This window comes from Homo sapiens, chromosome 9, assembly GCF_000001405.40.
Source record: "Homo sapiens chromosome 9, GRCh38.p14 Primary Assembly".
NCBI classification, from domain to species: Eukaryota; Metazoa; Chordata; class Mammalia; order Primates; family Hominidae; genus Homo; species Homo sapiens.
In genome coordinates this window covers 111,937,362-111,957,972 of record NC_000009.12, presented here as the reverse complement: position 1 = coordinate 111,957,972, position 20,611 = coordinate 111,937,362, and the positions used below count along the sequence as shown (strand labels likewise).

General features: G+C 44.6%; 1 long non-coding RNA gene across 1 annotated transcript, besides 2 other annotated features; it reads left to right on the top strand.

Annotated features, from left to right (window-relative positions):
- Positions 1,523 to 1,592: an enhancer, noted in NCBI's record as "active region_28802". NCBI's record gives its function as "activates an Ori minimal core promoter by ATAC-STARR-seq in GM12878 lymphoblastoid cells {active_cell/tissue: GM12878}" and the evidence as "EXISTENCE:reporter gene assay evidence [ECO:0000049][PMID:35858748]".
- On the top strand, positions 8,341 to 14,767 carry LOC124902250 (uncharacterized). Its single transcript, XR_007061735.1, has 2 exons — positions 8,341 to 8,597; positions 13,273 to 14,767. It is a non-coding gene; the product is annotated as an uncharacterized LOC124902250 (long non-coding RNA).
- Positions 19,779 to 20,088: an enhancer, noted in NCBI's record as "active region_28801". NCBI's record gives its function as "activates an Ori minimal core promoter by ATAC-STARR-seq in GM12878 lymphoblastoid cells {active_cell/tissue: GM12878}" and the evidence as "EXISTENCE:reporter gene assay evidence [ECO:0000049][PMID:35858748]".

Genomic DNA, 20,611 nt, shown 5'->3' with positions numbered 1-20,611 from the left:
CTTTCTTTCTTTCTTTTCTTTCTTTCTTTCTTTCTTTCTTCTTTCTTTCTTTCTTTCTTTTTTCTTCCTTTCTTCCTTTCTTTTCTTCTTTCCTTCCTTCCTTCCTTTCTCTCTTTCTTTCTTTCTTTTTCTTCCTTCCTTCCTTTTTTTTTTTTTTGTTAAGACTGAGTCTCACTCTGTTGCTCAGGCTGGAGTGCAGTGGCACAATCTCAGCTCACTGCAACCTCTACCTACCAGGTTCAAGTGATTTTCCTGACTCAGCCTCCCAGGTAGCTGGGATTACAGGCATATGCCACCACATCCAGCTAATTTTTATATTTTTAGTAGAGACAGGGTTTCACCCTGTTGGCCAGGCTGGTCTTGAACTCCTGGCTTTAAGTGATCCACGCACCTCGGCCTCCCAAAATGCTGGATTACAGGCGTGAGCCACCGTGCTCAGTCATTGACTACAGCAGGAGACATCTCATATCGTGGGCTGCAGAGAATTCCAAAGAATGCTACTTCCTCATTAGAGCCATCTTTAATGGATATTCCCTGAAAGAAAAAGATTAAAGTTCAGTTTGCTACATGTACATCTGTAGAATGAATTCCTAGAAGTAGAACTGTTAGGTCAAAAGGCATGTGTATTTATTTATTTATTTTTTATTTATTTTTTTTTTTTTTGAGACAGAGTCTGGCTCTGTCACCCAGGCTGGAGTGCAGTGGCACGATCTCGGCTCACTGCAAGCTCCGCCTCCCGGGTTCACGCCATTCTCCTGCCTCAGCCTCCCAAGTAGCTGGGACTACAGGCGCCCGCCACCACGCCTGGCTAATTTTTGTTTTTTTTTGTATTTTTAGTAGAGACAGGGTTTCACCGTGTTAGCCGGGATGGTCTCGATCTCCTGACCTCGTGATCTGCCCGCCTTGGCCTCCCAAAGTGGGCATGTGTATTTATAATTTTCATACAGAGTTTGTGCCAATTTCTGCTTCCACCAGCAAATGTAGGAGAGTGCTCACTTTCCCACACTTTTGTAAATAAAATGGGCTTTCAAACTTTGCCAACTTTATAGGTGAAAAAATACGTTTGTGCCTAACTGTGAAAAATTCATCCTTTTGTCACTGGAGACTTTTTGGAAGAGAGGATTGGGTCCTGCCAATGTTTCCTTGTGGTTTACTTGTACCTCCCAGGGTCCTGAAGAAAAATGGGGGTAGGCCAGGAGCAGTGGCTCATGCCTGTAATCCCAGCACTTTGGGAGGCCAAGGTGGGCGGATCACTCGAGGTAAGGAGTTCGAGACCAGTCTGGCAAACATGGCAAAACCCCGTCTCTACTAAAAATACATATATTAGTCGGGCATGGTGGTGGGTGCCTGTAATCCCAGCTACTGGGGAGGCTGAGGCATGAGAATTGCTTGAACCTGGGAGGTAGAGGTTGCGGTGAGCTAAGATTGTGCCACTGTACTCCAGCCTGGGTGACAGAGCGAAAAGCCTTCTTTTATTTTTCTCCAAAAGAAAAAGCAAAGAAAAGAAAAGAAAAATGGGGGTAGAAGAGAGCAAGGAGATCAGGGAGAAGGAGAGAGGAGAGGAGTAGCAGAGAGCAGAAAAGGGGTGAGGAGCTGGGCACGGTGGCTCATGCCTGTAATCTCAGCACTTTGGGAGGCTGAGGTGGGTGGATCACGAGGTCACGAGTTCGAGACCAGCCTGACCAATATGGGGAAACCCCGTCTCTACTAAAAGTACAAAAATTAGCCAGGCATGGTGGCATGAGCCTGTAATCCCAGCTACTCAGTAGGCTGAGGCAGGAGAATTGCTTGAACCTGGGAGGCAGAGGTTGCAGTAAGCTGAGATTGCACAACTGTAATCCAGCCTGGGTGACAGAGCGAGAGACTCCATCTCAAAAAAAAAAAAAAAAAAAAAAAAAAAAAAAAGAAAAGAAAAAAAGAAAGAAGGAAAGAAAAGAAAAGGGGTGAGGAGGGTGAGGAAGTAGAGTAGAAGTAGGTTGGGGCAATCAGAGTGTAACTAGAGGTTATAGTTCCCAGCTAATCAGGTATGTTCTTGTTTTCTCTCCATTTGACTTATCTCCACCCATCAACACACCTATTTTCTACCCAGGTGCTTTACTTCCTGTGAGCAGAGAGTTGTGTTGTAGGTGCTCAGTCATCTTGACCGCTCATGACATTCTCAGATCTCAAGACAGACACTAGACATGGATGTACCTACTGCCCAAGGAGTCCTTTCTAGGAGGGCCGGGGGGAAAAAAGTGGAGGGAGTTGTTAGGGTAAACAGTGAGGCTTCTAACGCTGCAACACTGATTATTTGGGATGGGAGAAATGACCACAGTGAATTCTGGGCTAATCAAAAAGACCTCAGGTCTTACAACTGGGAGATAAAAACTAGTGGATCAAAAGTTTTAGTACTAATTTACACAGTTTGTGCAGAGTGCAATTGCCAGAGGAAAAGCTAATCTGTTAGGATCTTTGGGTTGTAAGGTACAGAGAGGTTTATCCAGATTGCTTTGAACATTGATGGTTTATGAAGGTACACGTATAAGGCAGAGTGCTGGCCATACAGCCAGGTCTCTAATGAACCTTTATGCAGCTCAACAACTATCCTCCCCCATCCCCCGGGCCTAGAACATAGTTTGATAATGGGAAGATTACACAGCAGGGATCCCCAACCAGTACCCGTCTGTGGCCTGTTAGGAGCTGGGCAGCACAGGAGGAGGTGAGCAGCAGGTGAGCAAACAAAGCTCCATCTGCATTTACAGCCCTGCTCCATCACTCACATTACCACCTGAGCTCTGCCTTCTGTCAGCTCAGCGGCAGCATTAGATTCTCATAGGAGCGCAAACCCTATTGTGAACTGCGCGTGGGAGAGATCTAAGTTGAGCTCCTCATGGGAATCTAATGCCTGATGATCTGCCACTCTTTCCCATCACCCCCAGATGGGACCGTCTAGTCGTAGGAAAACAAGCTCAGGGATCCCACTGAGTCCATATTATGGTGAGTTGTATAATTATTTCATTATATATGACAATGTCAGAATAATAGAAATAAAGGCTGGGCACAGTGGTTCACACTTGTAATCCCAGCACTTTGGGAGGCCAAGGCAGGTGGATCACCTGAGGTCAGGAGTTCGAGACCAGCCTGACCAACATGGTCAAAACCCGTTTCTACTAAAAATACATAAATTAGTCGGGCGTGGTGGCAGGTTCCTGTAATCCCAGCTACTTGGGAGTCTGAGGCAGGAGAATCACTTGAACCCGGGAGGTGGAGGTTGCAGTGAGCCGAGATCATGCCACTGCACTCCAGCGTGGATGGCAGAGACTCCATTTCACTAAAAAAAAAAAGGAAAAAAAAAGAAAATGCACAATAAACAGAACGCCTTGAATCTCCCTGAAACCATGCCCCAACTCACCATCCCATCTGTGGAAAAATTGTCTTCCATGAAACTGGTCCCTGGTGCCAACAAGGTTGAAGATGGCTGTTATACAAGATTCAGGGTGGGTCTAGCAATTGGGTGATCACTCCCCTTCCCTCAGCAGCAGGAGGAGCCAATGGCTGCTTTAGCGCCTCACCATCCTTTTGATTCAGCTTCTCCGTCTTTTCCTCTGCTATTCACTTCTTTACCTGAAAAATGTTCTCTTTTTTTTTTTTTTTGAGATAGTCTTACTCTGTCACTCAGGCTGGAGTGTGGTGGAGTGATCTTGGCTCCACATCCCTGGCTCAAGTGATCCTCCCACCTCGGCCTCATGTATAGCTGGGACCACAGGCACACACCACCATGCCTGGCTAATTTTGTGTATTTTTTGTAGAGACAGGGTTTTGCTATGTTGCCCACACTGATCTCAAACTCCTGAGCTCAAGCCATCTGCCTGTCTCAGCCTCCCAAATTGCTGGGATTATAGGCGTGAGCCACTGTGCCCAGCTGCAATATGCTCTTTATCTCCATCTGACCCTATAGTGTCTGCTCACTCATAGCTTCAGGTCGTCTTACTGCCTCTTCTGTGTGTCTTTCACCTTTTGTTCCTCTTACCAATTGTTCAATGCCCAATATCTCCTATTTTAAAATTCTCAAATGATCCCTGGGGTCCTTTGTGGCTCTGCTGATCTAATTTCATTCTGCCAGTCCCCAAATACCATATCTGCGCTTTCAGGCTACTTGTCTTCCCTCCTATGTGATTGCCATGTTACCTACTATTCTAGAGAAGACAGCAAAGACCATTGTCTGTCAATGTTTAAAGGGAAAAAACGGTCCCTTCTATCCCATTTCCCATCAGAATGGATTGCATTGCCAGATCAGCTGATGGCCCCTGATAGACTCAGAGGATGTTGCAATGTGAAAGGCAGTGTGGAGAGGGAAGAAAGCTTGTTCCCCATTCTTCATACTGTCATGGAGAAGGGGAGAAAGTATGGGCAGACATGTTCACCCCCATTTTCCTCTTTTCCTTCACACAGTCCTCCAGAGGGAGGAAGAGTGACTAACTGGAAGAGTGAGGATGGGCATTCTCAGCCTACTCTCGGCAAACTCAGATTCTGTGCTCCTCCACGCAGAGAACTTACCAGAACATGGTCTCACTCTCAGAAAAGGAGGACTACGATTTTGGCAATAAACAGTAGGAAGCCTGGGGAGATCAAGCCATGGTCTCTTTTCTCAGTTGGAAAGCTAGTCTTTTGATCTTGAGACGGAGTCTTGCTCTGTCGCCCAGGCTGGAGTGCAGTGGCGCGATCTCGGCTCACTGCAACCTCCACCTCCTGGGTTCAAGCGATTCTCCTGCCTCAGCTTCCTGAGTAGCTGGGATTACAGGCACACACCACCATGCCCAGCTAATTTTTTTTTTTTTTTAGATGGAGTCTCGCTCTGTTGCCCAGGCTGGAGTGCAGTGGCACGATCTCGGATCACTGCAAGCTCTGCCTCCGGGGTTCAGGCCATTCTCCTGCCTCAGCCTCCCGAGTAGCTGGGCCTATAGGCGCCTGCCACCACGCCTGGCTAATTTTTTGTATTTTTAGTACAGATGGGGTTTCACCATGTTGGCCAGGCTGGTCTCGAACTCCTGACCCCGTGATCTGCCTGCCTTGTCCTCCCAAAGTGCTGGGATTACAGGCATGAGCCACTGCACCTGTGCATTGACCTGTGCAACTTCTATGATGATGTTGCAGTTGCCCTGGAGTTGGCTTAGGAAGAAGGGATGTGGTTAATTAGCTCATTTCCCAATACAGTGTCATTCCCGGGCCTGGATGCTTGGGAAAGTACCCAGGGCAAGCTTTAAGTACAAAATAGGGTGGTTTGCTTTAAGAGTCCTAAAGCAACCTGAGGAACAATGCAAGATACCCTGCAGGGTTATCAGCCTCCTACAAGGGAGTCCCAGGCCCATGACTCTTTCCAGAAAGATTCTCCATTCCTCATTTTCCTCTATGGCTACTAGTCAATTTCTGAGGTTTGACTGAATTATCAAATTCAAATCTGCCCAGATGTCAGTGTTATCATTTTCGTGTCTCCTGATGGAAATATTCTTTGATTGGTTACTAAGACCTCTAAACCAGCAGAGCCCATAGTTGAGGAAATGAGAATGAAAAACTATCTAAGTGGGTTATTAGATGTAATAATGAACGATGTTAACACTCATTTCTTTTCTTTTTTGAAACAGGGTCTTTCTCTGTCACCCAAGCTGGAGTGCAATGGTGTAATCATAGCTCACTGCAGCCTCGACTCCTGGGCTCAACTCTCACTTCAGGCACGTACGTGTCTCACCCAAGGCATCGAAAATACCTGGTATGTCTGGCCTCCAAGTCCTGTTAGCTTTTTTTTTGTTTTTTGTTTTTGAGACAGAGTCTTGCTCTGTCACCCAGGCTGGAGTGCAGTGGTGTGATCTTGGCTCACTGCAGCCTCCAACTTCCAGGTTCAAGCAATTCTCATGCCTGAGCCTCCCTGGTAGCTGGGACTACAGGCACGTGCCACCACACCTGGCTAATTTTTATAGTTTTAGTAGAGATGGGGTTCTGCCATGTTGGCCAGACTGGTCTCAAACTCCTGGCCTCAAGTGATCTGCCTGCCTCGGCCTCCCAAAGTGCTGGGATTACTGGTGTGAGCCACCACGCCTGGATGATATTTTGAAGACTTCATATAAAAATAAGTATCTCAATAAGTTTTATATTGACTACATATTGAAATGATACTATTTTAGATATCATGGATTCAGTAAACTGTGCTTTTAAAATTAATTTCACCTGTTTCTTTTTACTTTTAAAAAATGCAGCTACTGCCGGGCGCGGTGGCTCAAGCCTGTAATCCCAGCACTTTGGGAGGCTGAGGCAGGTGGATCACGAGGTCAGGAGATCAAGACCATCTTGGCTAACACGGTGAAACCCCATCTCTACTAAAAATACAAAAAATTAGCTGGGCATGGTGGTGGGCTGTAGTCCCAGGTACTCGGGAGGCTGAGGCAGGAGAATGGCGTGAACCCGAGAGGCGGAGCTTGCAGTGAGCCGAGATCGTGCCACTGCACTCCAGCCTGGGCGACAGAGCGAGACTCCATCTCAAAAAAAAAAAAAGTTAGACATGTGGCTCACATTATTTTTCTGTTGGACAGTGCTGCTCTAAAGGCTTAATTTGCTTTTCTTACCATAATAGCCCTCATGACTTGGGTTAGAGAGTCAATTTGGAAATTATCCCAATTGTTGAACTTATTTATTCCAATTGTACACTCAACCACAAGATGAGTTTGGGGTCTTATTAGAGCCCAATGTGAGACTAATTGGAATCAAAGCTTTATAATCTTATCATGAGGCTGCCACTGACTGGTAATCCATGACAGCGTTCTAGTCTCCCATTATTTCAAAGCCGAAGGTTTAGATACTTTCCTTCCCTATGTGTACATCTACCCCTATGAATAGCTGTCTATTTGGAGAAGTTGAGGGGGAGGAGGTTGAGTATATACCTGTCATGTTACCACAGCCTTTTTTTTTGAGGATATGCACCTTTCCTTTTATTTAAGGGGCTCAGAATCTCTGAAATTAATCAGACCTGGGAATTGAGTGAGGAGGCAGGATTCTACGGTGGTGGTTCAAGTAAGGCCTCTTATCACCAAACTTGGAGTTTTTTGGTTTCATACATCAAATAAAACCTTATGGTGGGCTACCCATCTGTTTCAATTCTGGATCTTCTGTTTAGGTAATTAGGTACCACCAAATAGTCAGACTATTCAGATGACTACGTAAGTATGTCTGGCAGTTATGACAACTGTAGATTCCATGCCTTCGAAATGAAGTGCTGATGTTTGGCCTTGCTTGTGTGTTCTACTCCCAATTCCATCACCCTTATTGGAATTAGGGAGACTATGTCATCCCATAAGGAGTGCAGTTCATCCCATTTGCATCCATGGCCTACAACTGCTTTACAGAGATTCTAGCTCTCCTTGCACCAATGCATTTCTCAGTGGTTTGGTGATATGAATATATTGTTAGTCTTTACTGGAGGGGCATGATTTTTTTTTTTTTTTGAGATGGAGTCTTGCTCTGTCGCCCAGGCTGGAGTGCAGTGGCATAATCTTGGCTCACTACAACCTCTGCCTCCCGGGTTCAAGCAATTCTCCTGCCTCAGCCTCTTGAGTAGCTGGGATTACAGGTGCCTGCCACCATGCCTGGCTAATTTTTGTAATTTTAGTAGAGACGGGGTTTTGCCATGTTGGCCAGGCTGGTCTCCAACTCCCAACTTCAGGTGATCCACCCACCTCAGTCTCCCAAAGTGCTGGGATTACAGGCATGAGCCACCATGCCCGGCCTAGAGGGGCATAATTTTGAGGTGGGTGAATCACATATGATAAATCCATTCCCAAGTCCCCATCTTCCTGTCTTTGCATTCCTTCCTCTACATCATAGGCAGAAATTTCTGGCCTCTTGGCTTCATTTGGTGTGGTCTATCTTTGAATCACAGTTTCCTGTCAGCCAACTGAGAAAAACAATTAGAATCACTCCTAGCTGCTGGAGCTGGCATTTTCATCCAAAATCTCTGGAAAGAATACCATATTAAAAAATTTAGCCTAACCTGCCAGGTGCGGTGGCTCACGCCTGTAATCCTAGCACTTTGGGAGGCCGAGACAGGTGGATCACCAGAGGTCAGGAGTTCAAGACCAGCCTGGCCAAGATGGCAAAACCCCGTCTCTACTAAAAATACAAAAATTAGTCTGGTGTGGCGCCATGCACCTATAGTCCCAGCTACTCGGGAGGCTGAGGCAGGAGAATCGCTTGAACCTGGGAGGCGGAGGTTGCAGTGAGCTGAGATCGAGCAACTGCACTCCAGCCGGGGTGACAAAGCAAGATTCCCTCTCAAAACAAAAAAAATTTGCCTCAGCTTTATCTATGTCCCTCTTTCCTTGGTCCAGTCCTTATGCTCACAGGCATTCTCCAGTGTTTTGCTAACAAAAATGAGCAAATGCTTAACATCCTTTTGATGTTTTAACTTCCTCCTTCGTTCTGGATCCCCAAGGGCATGCTGGCTGTCATCTGGAGGCAATCAGAGATGGTAAGAATGCCCGGTATAAAGAGAATTGGCAACGGTAACTCCCTGTAGCAAGGTGGGTTCCCTGACAGAAGAGGAAAAGGAGGGAGAGCTGCATTTGCTGGTAAGAGAGGCTCACTGGGACTTGGGATACTCTGAATCACATGAATTTCCCCAAACCAATTCTTCTAGGCCAACTACTTCTTTCTGATCAATGCCATAACTTTTGCAATAGACCTGATGAGGCTATGAACTCAACTAATGTTTTAATTCAACATCCTACAGAATGAAACTTTGAGTGTTAGGAAGCAGCAGGGAATACCAAGCTGGTCATCAAATCTGAGTGAGTGGGAAACTGGAGCAGGGAGATGAAGTCAGCAGGGCTGAGAGCCAGTCATATGCAGGAACAGATTGGAGAGTAACGTTCTGGAGAAGTCAAGTGGAGGCAGGAAGTCAAATGAAGTGGGCTGTGATCCTGACATGGACTTTTTTTTTTTTTTTTGAGACAGAGTATTGCTCTGTTACCCAGACTAGAGTACAGTGGCACGATCTCAGCTCACTGCAACCTCTACCTCCTGGGTTCAAGTGATTCTCCTGCCTCAGCCTCCTCAGCTATGATTACAGGCATGCACCACCACACCCAGCTAATTTTTTGTATTTTTAGTAGAGATGGAGTTTCACCATATTGGCCAGGCTGGTCTTGAACTCCTGACCGCAAGTGATCCACCTGCCTCAGCTTCCTGAAGTGCTGAGATTACAGGCGTGAGCCACTACGCCAGGACCGGACTTTTCTTAGGTGTCAGCCTTCTGTGACTTTGGGCAGCCTGCCCCTCCTAAGGAAGGCTTAGGGTTGGTATGAAACATTAAAGAGTTCCCATTGTAGAAAGTGAGAGTGGTACTTTCCCATCTGACCTGTACAAAACTAAAAAGAAAATGTTTCAGCCACATTTAGGTCTTAGGAATGGGGGAGAAACAGAATTCCTCACTAGGATTAGAGCGACAACCTTCCTGCTGGGTGTCTATGCCTTCAAGCTCATTCTCTCTAATCCATCCTCCACACAGCAGCCAGAGAAATCTTTTTTTTTTTGAGATGGAGTTTTCGCTCTTTTCGCCCAGGCTGGAGTACAATGGAGCGATCTCGGCTCACACAACCTCCGCCTCCTAGGTTCAAGCGATTCTCCTGCCTCAGCCTCCCGCGTAACTGGGATTACAGGCATGCGCCTCCACGCCCGGCTAATTTTGTATTTTTAGTAGAGACGGGGTTTCTCCATGTTGGTCAGGTTGGTCTCGCACTCCTGACTTCAGCTGATCCGCCCGCCTCGGCCTAAGTGCTAGGATTACAGGCGTGAGCCACCGCGCCCGGCTCAGAGAAATCTTTCTAACACACAAAACTTTCAATTACTTCCTACTGCCTTCACGACAAAGCCCACATTCTGGAACTGGACTTTGAAGGCTCTGAATGCCGCAGAGCTGCACAGAACCTAAATTTGCAATCTGTAGTTAATTTTCCCTGTGTAAAAAGTGAGACGAATATGGGTAGGAACAGAAAAAGGGGGAGGAGCTTGGAAGGTAGGGAAAGGAAACTTCAAGGCCAAAGAGAGAGAGAGAAAGGATACTACTGCCAATAAGAAATCCTTGATGGAAGAACAGATCAAGGATTTTTAGAACAGCCACGTCTAAGGAGCAACTTTTTTTTTTTTTTTTTTTTTTTTTTTTGAGACAGACTCTCACTCTGTCGCCCAGGCTGGAGTGCAGGGGTGCGATCTAGGCTCACTGCAACCTCTGCCTTTGGGTTCAAGCGATTCTCCTGCCTCAGCCTCCCAAGTAGCTGGGATTACAGGCACACACCACAACGCCTGGCTAATTTTTGTATTTTTTTTTTTCAGTAGAGATGGCATTTCACCATGTTGTCCAGTCTGGTCTCGAGCTGTGGGCTTTAAGCCACACGCCCGCCGGCCTCCCAAAGTGCTGGGATTACGGGTGTGAGCCACCGGCCCCAGCCAGGAGCAACTGTAAAGTTGTTTGTTGTGCACTGTAGAATGGCGTTGCAGCCCCTCCCTCACAATTCATAAACCTCAACAAAGCTTGAAAGCACTTTTACTTCCCCACTTTCTTCTTTCACACCCCTACTCCTGTGTTTTGAGATAATTTAAAATTTTAGCCAAGGCTATTAAATTTTCCTCCATAATAAGTCTCATCTGATTTAAAATTCTCATTATTCCATGTCACGTTAGCATCTATTTAGAGTATGACAATTACAAGGTTCATTATTCACCATTGTCTTCTTGTATTCTTTGTCTTTCCCTGTTGCTGAATTTTTTTTAAAAAACGATTGTTTTAGGCTGGGCACAGTAACTCACGCCTGTAATCCCAGCACCTTGGGAGGCCAAGGCGGGCGGATCACCTGAGGTCAGAAGATCAAAACCAGCCTGGCCAACATGGCGAAAACCTGTCTCTACTAAAAATACAAAAATGAGCCAGGTGTGGTGGTGTATGCCGGTAATCCCAGCTACTTGGGAGGCTGCGGCAGGAGAATTGCTTGATCTTGGGACGTGTAGGTTTAAGTGAGCCAAGATTGTGCCAGTGCACTCCAGCCTGGGTGACAGAGCAAGACTCCATCTAAAAAAAAAAATTATTATTTTAAATTGACAAATAATAATTGTACATATTCATGGGGTACAAAGTGATGTTTTAATATATATAATTTAAAGTGATCAGATCAGGATAATTAGCATATCCATCCTCTCAAACATTTATCATTTCTTCATGTTGGAAACATTTAATATCCTCCTTCTATTTGAAACTGTGTAATATATTATTGTTAACTATAGGGATCCTATAGAATACTAGAACTATAGGAACTATGAATTCTATAGAACACTAGAACTTATTCCTCTTATCCGGCTATAATTTTGCATCCTTTTTTTTTTTTTTTTTTTTTTTTGAGGTGGAGTTTCGCCCTTGTTGCTGAGGCTGGAGTGCAATGGCACAATTTCGGCTCACTGCAACCTCTGCCTCCCAGGTTCAAGCGATTCTCCTGCCTCAGCCTCCTGAATAGCTGGGATTACAGTCACCCGCCATCATGCTCGGCTAATTTTTTTTTTTTTTGTACTTTTGTAGAGACAGGGTTTCACCATGTTGGCTAGGCTGGTCTAGAACTCCTGACCTCAGGTGATCCGCCTGCCTTGGCCTCCCAAAGTGCTGGGATTACAGGCGTGAGCCACTGCACCTGGCCTCCTTGCATCCTTATTTTCTTAAGTACTTCCTTGACTAATTTCCTCAGGTTGAGTACATGGGTAGTATACTTTCTGAGGTCCTACAAGCCCCTAAATACCTTATTTTTGCCCTTATATAATAAGATTTTGGCTGGTTATAAGATTTTCCTATCACAATCCCCCCAGTAACCTTCAGTATTGCCGATAGTCCAGCGATGGTCTAACTCCCTTTCTTTTGTCAATAACTTGTTCTTTCTGGCTGATGACCGTTAAATTTATCCTTCGGGTTAAAAAATTTAACCCTATTTAATTTTTCCCCATTTTCTTCTTTTAGGACACTTCTTTGTCTGCAAATATGTCTTCTCATTCTACCCACCTGGGACTAGGAAGTCATTTAAATCTAAAGAAGCAAGTCTTTGGTTTTCTTCTGTCTCTTCCTTTTTCCTTCTGGAAATTTATTAGACAATTTAAGTCTCCACCTAAACGGTCCTCTCTGTCTTGTATCTGCGTATTTCTCTTAGTATTTAGTATATTTTGTTTTGTTTTGCTCTGGGTTATAGGGATCCCACTAAACGCTATTTTGATTTTCAGAAGTAATCATTCTCTTTAATTTCTACATTGAATTTCTAAATTTAGAAATCATACTTTTCAGTACCATAATTTCATTTTTTTATGCTCTAATTGTATCTTCTTAAATGTCCTCATTATGTTTCTCCTCCTCATTAGGTTTTAACTAAAGTTTACTTCTCTTTCTCTTATTAATTCTGCCTCTATGTTAGCCATATTTTCTGGTCATGCAATTTGGTCTATCTCCGGGAAATTGCATGTTTCCTTTGCAAGTCAGCTGTTGGAATTCTTCAAGCCGTAGTGAACTGACTGCCACTGGATGGGCCAGCAGTAATGAGACAGGCAGCTGGGACTTTCTGTTGAGGTTTTTGGGGGCGTGGTATCTGTTCTCAGATGCAAGAAGTGAAACCTTTTTTTCTAGTGCCACTGAAATCAATGGAATTGATCAGTTTCTCCCAGATGATGGTCATAGCAAGGCATTAGGGCAGCCAGATTTGGATCCTCATCTCTAGATACCAAACTATGAGCTCTGAGCTGTGTCTGGACTCTTCATTTGGTGACTGAATTGTCCTAGCTGGGAGGGACTGAAAATCAAAAGTGATCAGCCAATACAGGTTGTCATTTTCCCTGAATTTCCCAAGGATAGGCAAATACAGCACTGTTGGCCCAAATCAGTGGGACTCTGCAGGACAGTGTTTCCTAGCTCCACTCGGCAGCTTTGGCTCAGTCTCAGTAGTCACAGCAATGGTACTCCTCCATTCATTTTTTGCCCCTTGGGCTAATCCATGAAAATAAAGTAAAAATTTTAAGTTCCAGCCACCCTAGTGACAAAATTCAAAATCCCAGTTTTTAGGAGAAAAATTATGAAAAGAAAACCTTTTGTTAACTTTTCAACAAGTTTTCCTCTGCCTTACTTTCTCTATCTGGTACTAGACCTCTTACTTGTGAGTCAACATCTGCTGTTCCATGTGGCCTGGCTTGTAGAGTCCTGTGTGTTGTAACCTCTGGTGATTACAGGTCTATTGCGCTTTGCTTAGAGATCAACAGAGTGACATCCTAGGGTCTGAGCCTCAACCCTCCAGGCCGCAAGCCTCCCACTTCCACTCCACCAACCTTGACTTGTGGAACATGCATCCTCCTGGGGATAAACCTCTACCAAGATGTTCTTGTAAGAGTGGCTGCAAGTGCCTGCATCAGAACCTCAGGAAAGCTGATAAAGTTGAAGAGTCCTTGCTTTCCTCACTTGGGAGGGGGTGCTGCTGCTGGCATTTAAGATGATTCTGATTCATGCTACAGTCTGACAACCTACAAAGCTGCATGGAAGAAAACTCTCTTCCACATGGCCTGGAGAGACCTAAGCATCCACGTGCTCACTGCTCTCAGTGCTCAGAGAAGAGAACACCTGGGAAATTGTCTTTGAATTATATAGAACAAGTTGTCCACTAAATGAATAACATCTGGAAGCATTCCAACCTGGTAAAGCCCCTTGAGTGTTGCCTATGATGTGGGTGCATCTGATTCCAGGTCATATGTGCAATGCTCTGCTGCAGACACTTTAGCTTTCAGATTTTGTGGAATATTGTTACAGGAACACAGGTCTATGCAATGAGGTCTTGTAGCTGCTTCCTAAGCTTTGCACATCAATCCATCAGCTCTAACATTCTGGACAATATTATTGCTGGCTACAATAGTACTATTTATAATAGTTCAAATGAATCAGATTGATTTTCTCCTTGAACACTAGAATATTTACTCTGAATCATCAAGGGCAAAAGGTCAATTCCCCTCAAAAAGATCATGCAACCCTCTCTATCAGAGGATAAACAATTCTTCAAGTATTGAGGAAAGAAAAATGACTTTGGGCCAGGCATGGTGGCTCACACCTATAATCCCAGCACTTTGGGAGGCCGAGGAGGGAGACCTCACTTGAGGTCAGGAGTTCGAGACCAGCCTCGGTAATATGGTGAAACCCCATCTCTACTAAAAACACAAAAATTAGCTGGGCATGGTGGCAGGAGCCTGTAATCCCAGCTATTTGGGAGGCTGAGGCAGTAGAATCACTTGAACCCGGGAGGTGGAGGTTGCAGTGAGCCACGATTGCACTATTGCACTCCAGCCTGGGTGACAGAGCGAGACTCCATCTCAAAAAAAAAAAAGAAAAGAAAAAAAAAAGAAAAGTGACTTTGTCCATTGGGTAGCCAAGCTTTCATTTTGCTCAGTGACGGAGTCTAGTACTTAAGATCCATATCATAGCAACACAAAACTTCTATTGAGGATGTAGCTTTTCATATGCATCATTCCCTTCACTTCTCACATTGGTGTCCACTGAGGCGTAGAGACACGGTACAGGATACAAATGGTGATGCTGGAAAGTGAACCTAAGTCTGTCTGTACAATCTACACACCTCACCACTGTGTGATCAGCTATAGGCTTAATACTAGTGAGACAGGGATGCTTACCTGTATTTGTTCATTAATTTGTTCAATAAAAAGGACTTTGTGTAAGGTTCTACATGTGGTGCTTGGGACACAAAGTCAAGTAATTTATGAACCCTCCCTGCCCTTGCCATTTCCAATCTAATGACAAACACAAAGAACTAAAGGGGCAATTAAAATAATTAGTGTAAGTGCTAGAGCAGAAGAAGGGTGAGGCTGGGGAGGCACAGACACAGGGTACATAACCATGTGAGTGTCAGTCAGAAAAGCCCTCCTGGGGGAGTTGGCTTCTGAGTCGAGTCCCAAGGGCCGAGCAGGGCTTAATTAGAGGAATTGGGGGACCCAGGTGAAAGCAACATGCACCAAGGTCCAGCGCGGGAAAGGCCAGGCATCAGGAACCTGGAGGAAGTTTACTTTGAGGAGGATTTATATGAACAGGTTAGGAAAAGAGTTGAGAGACAAGCAGGAGGGGTTGGCTGGGGCCTAACCTAAAATGGCCTCTCTGCTGTGAGAAAAGCTTGGGCTTTATCCTGATGGCAACATCAAGCCATTACAGTGTTTTAAGAGGAGGAGTAACAGGCTCAGCTTTTCTTCACAGGGGGAAGCTGCTGATAGACATGGGAGGGATGAACTTGCCTGCAGCTCTGTTCTTAGATGACAGAGGCCCAAGTTCAACTGGCACGGAGGCTGCAAACCTCCTGCTCAACAGCATATATGACCAGAAAAAGAAAACATCTGAAGAGAATTATGAACATGCTATATGCGTCTCTAAAGTATAAATGACTAAAACTGACTTTACAAACACAGAACTGAATATTATCAATGAAATAAATTGAAAATATTATCAAAATGCCAGGCCCATAAAGTTTTATGGATACATTCTTTTAAACTTTTTTTTTTTTTTTTTTTGGAGACAGTGTCTCACTCTGTTGCCCAGGCTGGAGTGCAATGGTGTGATCTCTGCTCACTGAAACCTCTGCCTCCTGGGCTCAAGCAATTCTCCTGCCTCAGCCTTCTGAGTAGCTGGGATTACAGGCACTCAACACCATGCCCACTAATTTTTGTATTTTTAGTAGAGACAGGGTTTCACCATGTTGGCCAGGCTGGTTTTGAACTCTTGACCTCAAATGAACTGCCTGCCTCGGTCTCCCAAAGTGCTGGGATTACAGGCATGAGCCACTGCGCCCAGCCTCTTTCAAACTTTTAAGGAACAGATAATTCCTAGCTAAGTAATTTTTTTCTGGAGCATAGGAATAAAAATAGCCCAACTGACTTTGCACGGTTAGCATATTCTAACTCTGAAGACTAGGAAATATATTATAAAATAATAACAAATGAAGTTCAGGAATGTATCTAAAAAACAGTACCCAAAGGCCAAGTCAGCTTTATTTCACAAATGCAGATATATACAGACTCTGAAAATATTGTTACTTCAAAGCTGAAAATGGTTTTATTTGAAAAGAGGGAGGGAAAGCAAATTTGGGAAGACTAATCTTTGATCTGGACAACTTCCATGGGCCATTTAGTTGCACAAATGCTAATCGATTATTTCCATGCCTACTCTATCTTACCTTGAGGAAACACCTTCCTAAATGCAAAGGTTCTAGAAGAGGGAAGGGCTCAGCTTGGCAATATAAAAGCTATTTTATATTGCTAAAAGGAAAAGATGTGGAACAGGCAATAAGAAAACATTTGGATCCTCATTTAAATAAGATTAAAGCCTGTAATCCCAGCACTTTGGGAGGCCAAGGCAGGCGGATCACCTGAGGTCTGGAGTTCAAGAACAGCCTGGCCAACATGGTGAAACCCCAACTCCTCTAAAAATAAAAAAATTAGACGGGCATGGTGGTGGGTGCCTGTAATCCCAGCTACTTGGGAGACTGAGGCAGGAGAATCACTTGAACCTGGGAGGTGGAGGTTGCAGTCAGCCGAGATCGCACCACTGCACTCCACATTGGGCAACAGAGCGAGACTCGGTCTCTAAATAAATAAATAAATATAAATAAATAAATAAATAAATAAATAAGATTAAGAAGTGGAAGAAAATCCAATGAATAAATGATAAAAATCATACATACAAAAATACTCGATCTTACCAGCCATTAAAAAGCCATATATTTAAAGAATGATGTACATTTTCATCTGTCAAATTTAGAAAGATTTAGAAAATAGCTATTCTGACTCCTAACAAGGATGACAAGTAATGAGAAACGCACACACCTTCTCTGGAAAGCACTTCAGCAGTATGTGCCAGAATGTGGGAAGGAAATAATACATTGAGAGTGATATTTATTTTTCCTTTGCAAACATTCTTATCACCCCAAAAGAAACCCTGTTAGTAATGACCACTGTTAGTAGCCATGCCTCATTCCTCCCATCCCCTAGCCCATGGCAACCACTAATCTACTTCCTGTCTCTATGGATTTGCCTGGTCTAGACATTTCATACAAACGCAATCATACACTATGAGGCCTTTTGTATCCAACTTCTTTCACTTAACATTTCCAAGGTTCGTCCATGTTGTGGCATGCACCAATACTTCATTTCTTTTTCTTTTTTCTTTTCTTTTTTTTTTTTTTGAGACAAGAGTCTCACTCTGTTGCCCAGGCTGGAGTGCAGTGGTGTGATCTCGGCTCACTGCAACCTCCACCTCCTCCTGGGTTCAAGCGATTCTCGTGCCTCAGCCTCCTGAGTAGCTGGGATCACAGGCGCGTGGCACTACATCCATCTAATTTTTGTGTTTTTAGTAGAGACAGGGTTTTACCATGTTGGCCAGGCTGGTCTCAAACTCCTGACCTCAAGTGATCTGCCCGCCTAGGCCTCCCAAAGTGTTGGGATTACATGCGTGAGCCACTGGGTCCGGCTGTTCCTTTGTTTTTTAGGGATAAATAATATCCCATTGTCTGTATATGATCAAGTTTTGTCTGTACATTCATCAGTTGATGGACATTTGGGTTGTTTCCACCTTTTGGCTATTATGAATAATGCTGCTATGAACATTCAAGTTTTTATGTGGACGTTTTGTTTCCAGTTCTCTTGAGTATCTACCTAGAAGGGCTTTTGTTCATTTCTTATGTTTCAGGTTTATAGTAAATATGTACTATTTTTATGATCCAAAACCAATGTGTAACTTAAAGAAAATAAAACACAACAAGAATCAATGGGCTTGTAGGATGTTGATAAGATAGACTTGACAGGGTCACCTCTTGATTCCTTCCAAAAACTGCTAGCTTCTCAAAGTTTAAGGAAAAAAACAGGCCGGGCGCAGGGGCTTAGGCCTGTAATCCCAGCACTTTGGGAGGCCGAGGAGGGCGGATCACAAGATCACGAGTTCGAGACCAGCCTGACCAACATGGTGATCCCCGTCTCTACTAAAAATACAAAAATTAGCCAAGCGTGGTGATGTGCACCTGTAATCCCAGCTACTCAGGAGGCTGAGGCAGGAGAATCGCTTGAACCCGGTAGGCGGAGGTTGCAGTGAGCCAAGATCACATCACTGCACTCCAGCCTGGGCGACAGAGGCAGGTTCTGTCTCAAAAAACAAAAAGCAAACAAAAACAACAACAAAAACCCAAAACCAGAACTAGAAGATTCTAGAAGGGGAAAATAAAATTTTAGTATTTTACTCATGTGTAGAGAAATCTTTTGTTTTAGTAGGGTGAGGGTGGGGGGGTTGGGAGCATGAAATAGCAAACACCTTACTAACACAATGAGAGGGTGGAAAGGTATTAAATGACATATGTGCCAGAATTAATGTTTTGATTCTGGCTTGACTGTCAACAATAGACCTTTCCCGAGTGACTATTACATGAATGCACTGGAGGGAAGGGTACAAAGAGAAAAAAGCACAAAAAAGGACTACTAAGATATGCAAAGTCCAGGCCCCTGAAAACTGGAAATGACCTGCAGACACGTAAGTGAAATGCCTGACAAAATGAAAGGGACAAAATGTGGGCACACACAACTCTGGAAAGGTCCTGAATTGAATGTGAGTTGAGGTTTAAAGGAGAGTATGTTGACCAGGTGCGGTGGTTCACGCCTGTAATCCCAGCACTTTGGGAGGCCGAGGCAAGCGAATCACTTGAGGACAGGAGTTTGAGACCAGCCTGGCTAACATGGTGAAACCCCTTAAAAATACAAAAATTAGCTGGATGTAGTGGTGCACGCCTGTAATCCCAGCTACTCAGGAGTCGGAGGCACAAGAATCGCTTGAACACAGGAGGTGGAGGCTGCAGTGAGCAGAGATTGCGCCACTGCACTCCAGGTGGGTGACAGAGTGACACTCTGTCTCAAAAAACAATAAAACAAAAAAACCAACAATAAAGAAGGAGAGTATCCCCATAGACAGGGAAAGTGAGGATGAAGGGAGAGAAACTTTCAGGGCAAGGAAACAGCATGGGAGCAAGGAAGCTCTGGTTCCACACGGAAAAGGGTCGGCTGGTGAGAGTGAGCCATTGGGTTGGGGGTGGAGAGCTCAGGCTGGAGAGATGGTGATGTGAAATGAGAATAGAAAATTAAGGACCACCTTTTCCTGGGCTTGGAGTAAGGCTGAGGAACATGGGGTCAGAGGAAGAAGCTGAAGTCAGAAGTCAAGCTCCAAGTCAATGTAGAGACAAAGCAGGAAGTAAAACAAGCAATATAACCAAAAATAAGCGAATCAGAACAAAATGAAAAAGGGCAGACTGTGGGCAGGGCTAGGGTGCCCACAGCTGCTTCCGGGATGCCGATTATGCTGTTGGGAGACAGTCTAGGATAAAGTCAGGAGACTGGAAGATGGGGATGGACAATTCCCCTTCATCGTCTCTTAATGACCCAACTTCTTAGGACATTTCTCACAAATTCAAGTCAGGCTTAGTTTTTTGGCTTAGTATTACTGGGACCTTGGGTGGAAATGCATCGTTGTTGCAGTTTCCAAATATCTGTGCCCATCGCTTTCATGTCTTTTTCACACGCAGCCAAACCTAAAGCATCTGACTTCTGCTTCTTCCACTCTGATGAACTGGCTTCCTGGGAGCTGCCTTTCTTAAACTGTTTCCTTGGCATCAGAGTCATATGGGTGCTCTCAGGGTCAGGAGCAATTTCTGTCTTTGAAAGTCCCACCCCTTTGTCTCTCACTGTAGAAAATATATCACTGTGTAAAACAAGAAAAATCGTTCATAAAGAAGCTGTATTACTCCCACGCAGACACTTCATCTATCAACGTCTGAGACAATTCACTATGGCGGAGACCCACGCTGGCAACTCTACAGGGAGTTTCCTGCCCCAGAGTTCACCAGCCTCTTCTCATCCTTTACGGTCAACGGCCCCTCCCGTGACCACTTCCTTCTTGAAATCTCTCTTTCCAAGGCTACTGTGGCACTCCTTTTACTATTTCTTTCTTCTTTGGGAGGAAAAAGGCACTAACTGTCCCTATGCTCATGTACATGACCTCATCGAATCATCTCTACCACCTCAGGTGCTTTAGTATCTCCATTCTACATGGTTAAGAAAGCTTGGCTCAGAAAGATGAAGGAAGCTTCCTAAAGTCCCATAGCTACCAAAAAGCCCATTTGGACCCCAGGTTTGGCAGCCTCTTTTCCTAGATGTTTTTCTTCCATTGTCTCTCTAAATGGCACTTTGACTTTAGTTATAGTCACTGTCTCAGCCATCACCTCTAGGGAAATTACTCCCAAGTCACCACTTCTAACCCATTCCTTTCCCCTGCTCCAGAGCTGCACAATAAATAGTCTGCTGGATTTCTCCAGCATGTTCCTTAGGCTGGCCTGGTGTCCGTCAGTCATGAGGGGAAATGATAGAGGTTTCACATCTGGTGACAAGGGTTGGGAAACAAAGGTGGCATGACCGCAATGGGGTGTGCAGGCAGCAGAGGAGGGGTGCAGATACTCTCAGTCCTGTAGAAGAATAAATGATATCCCTAAAT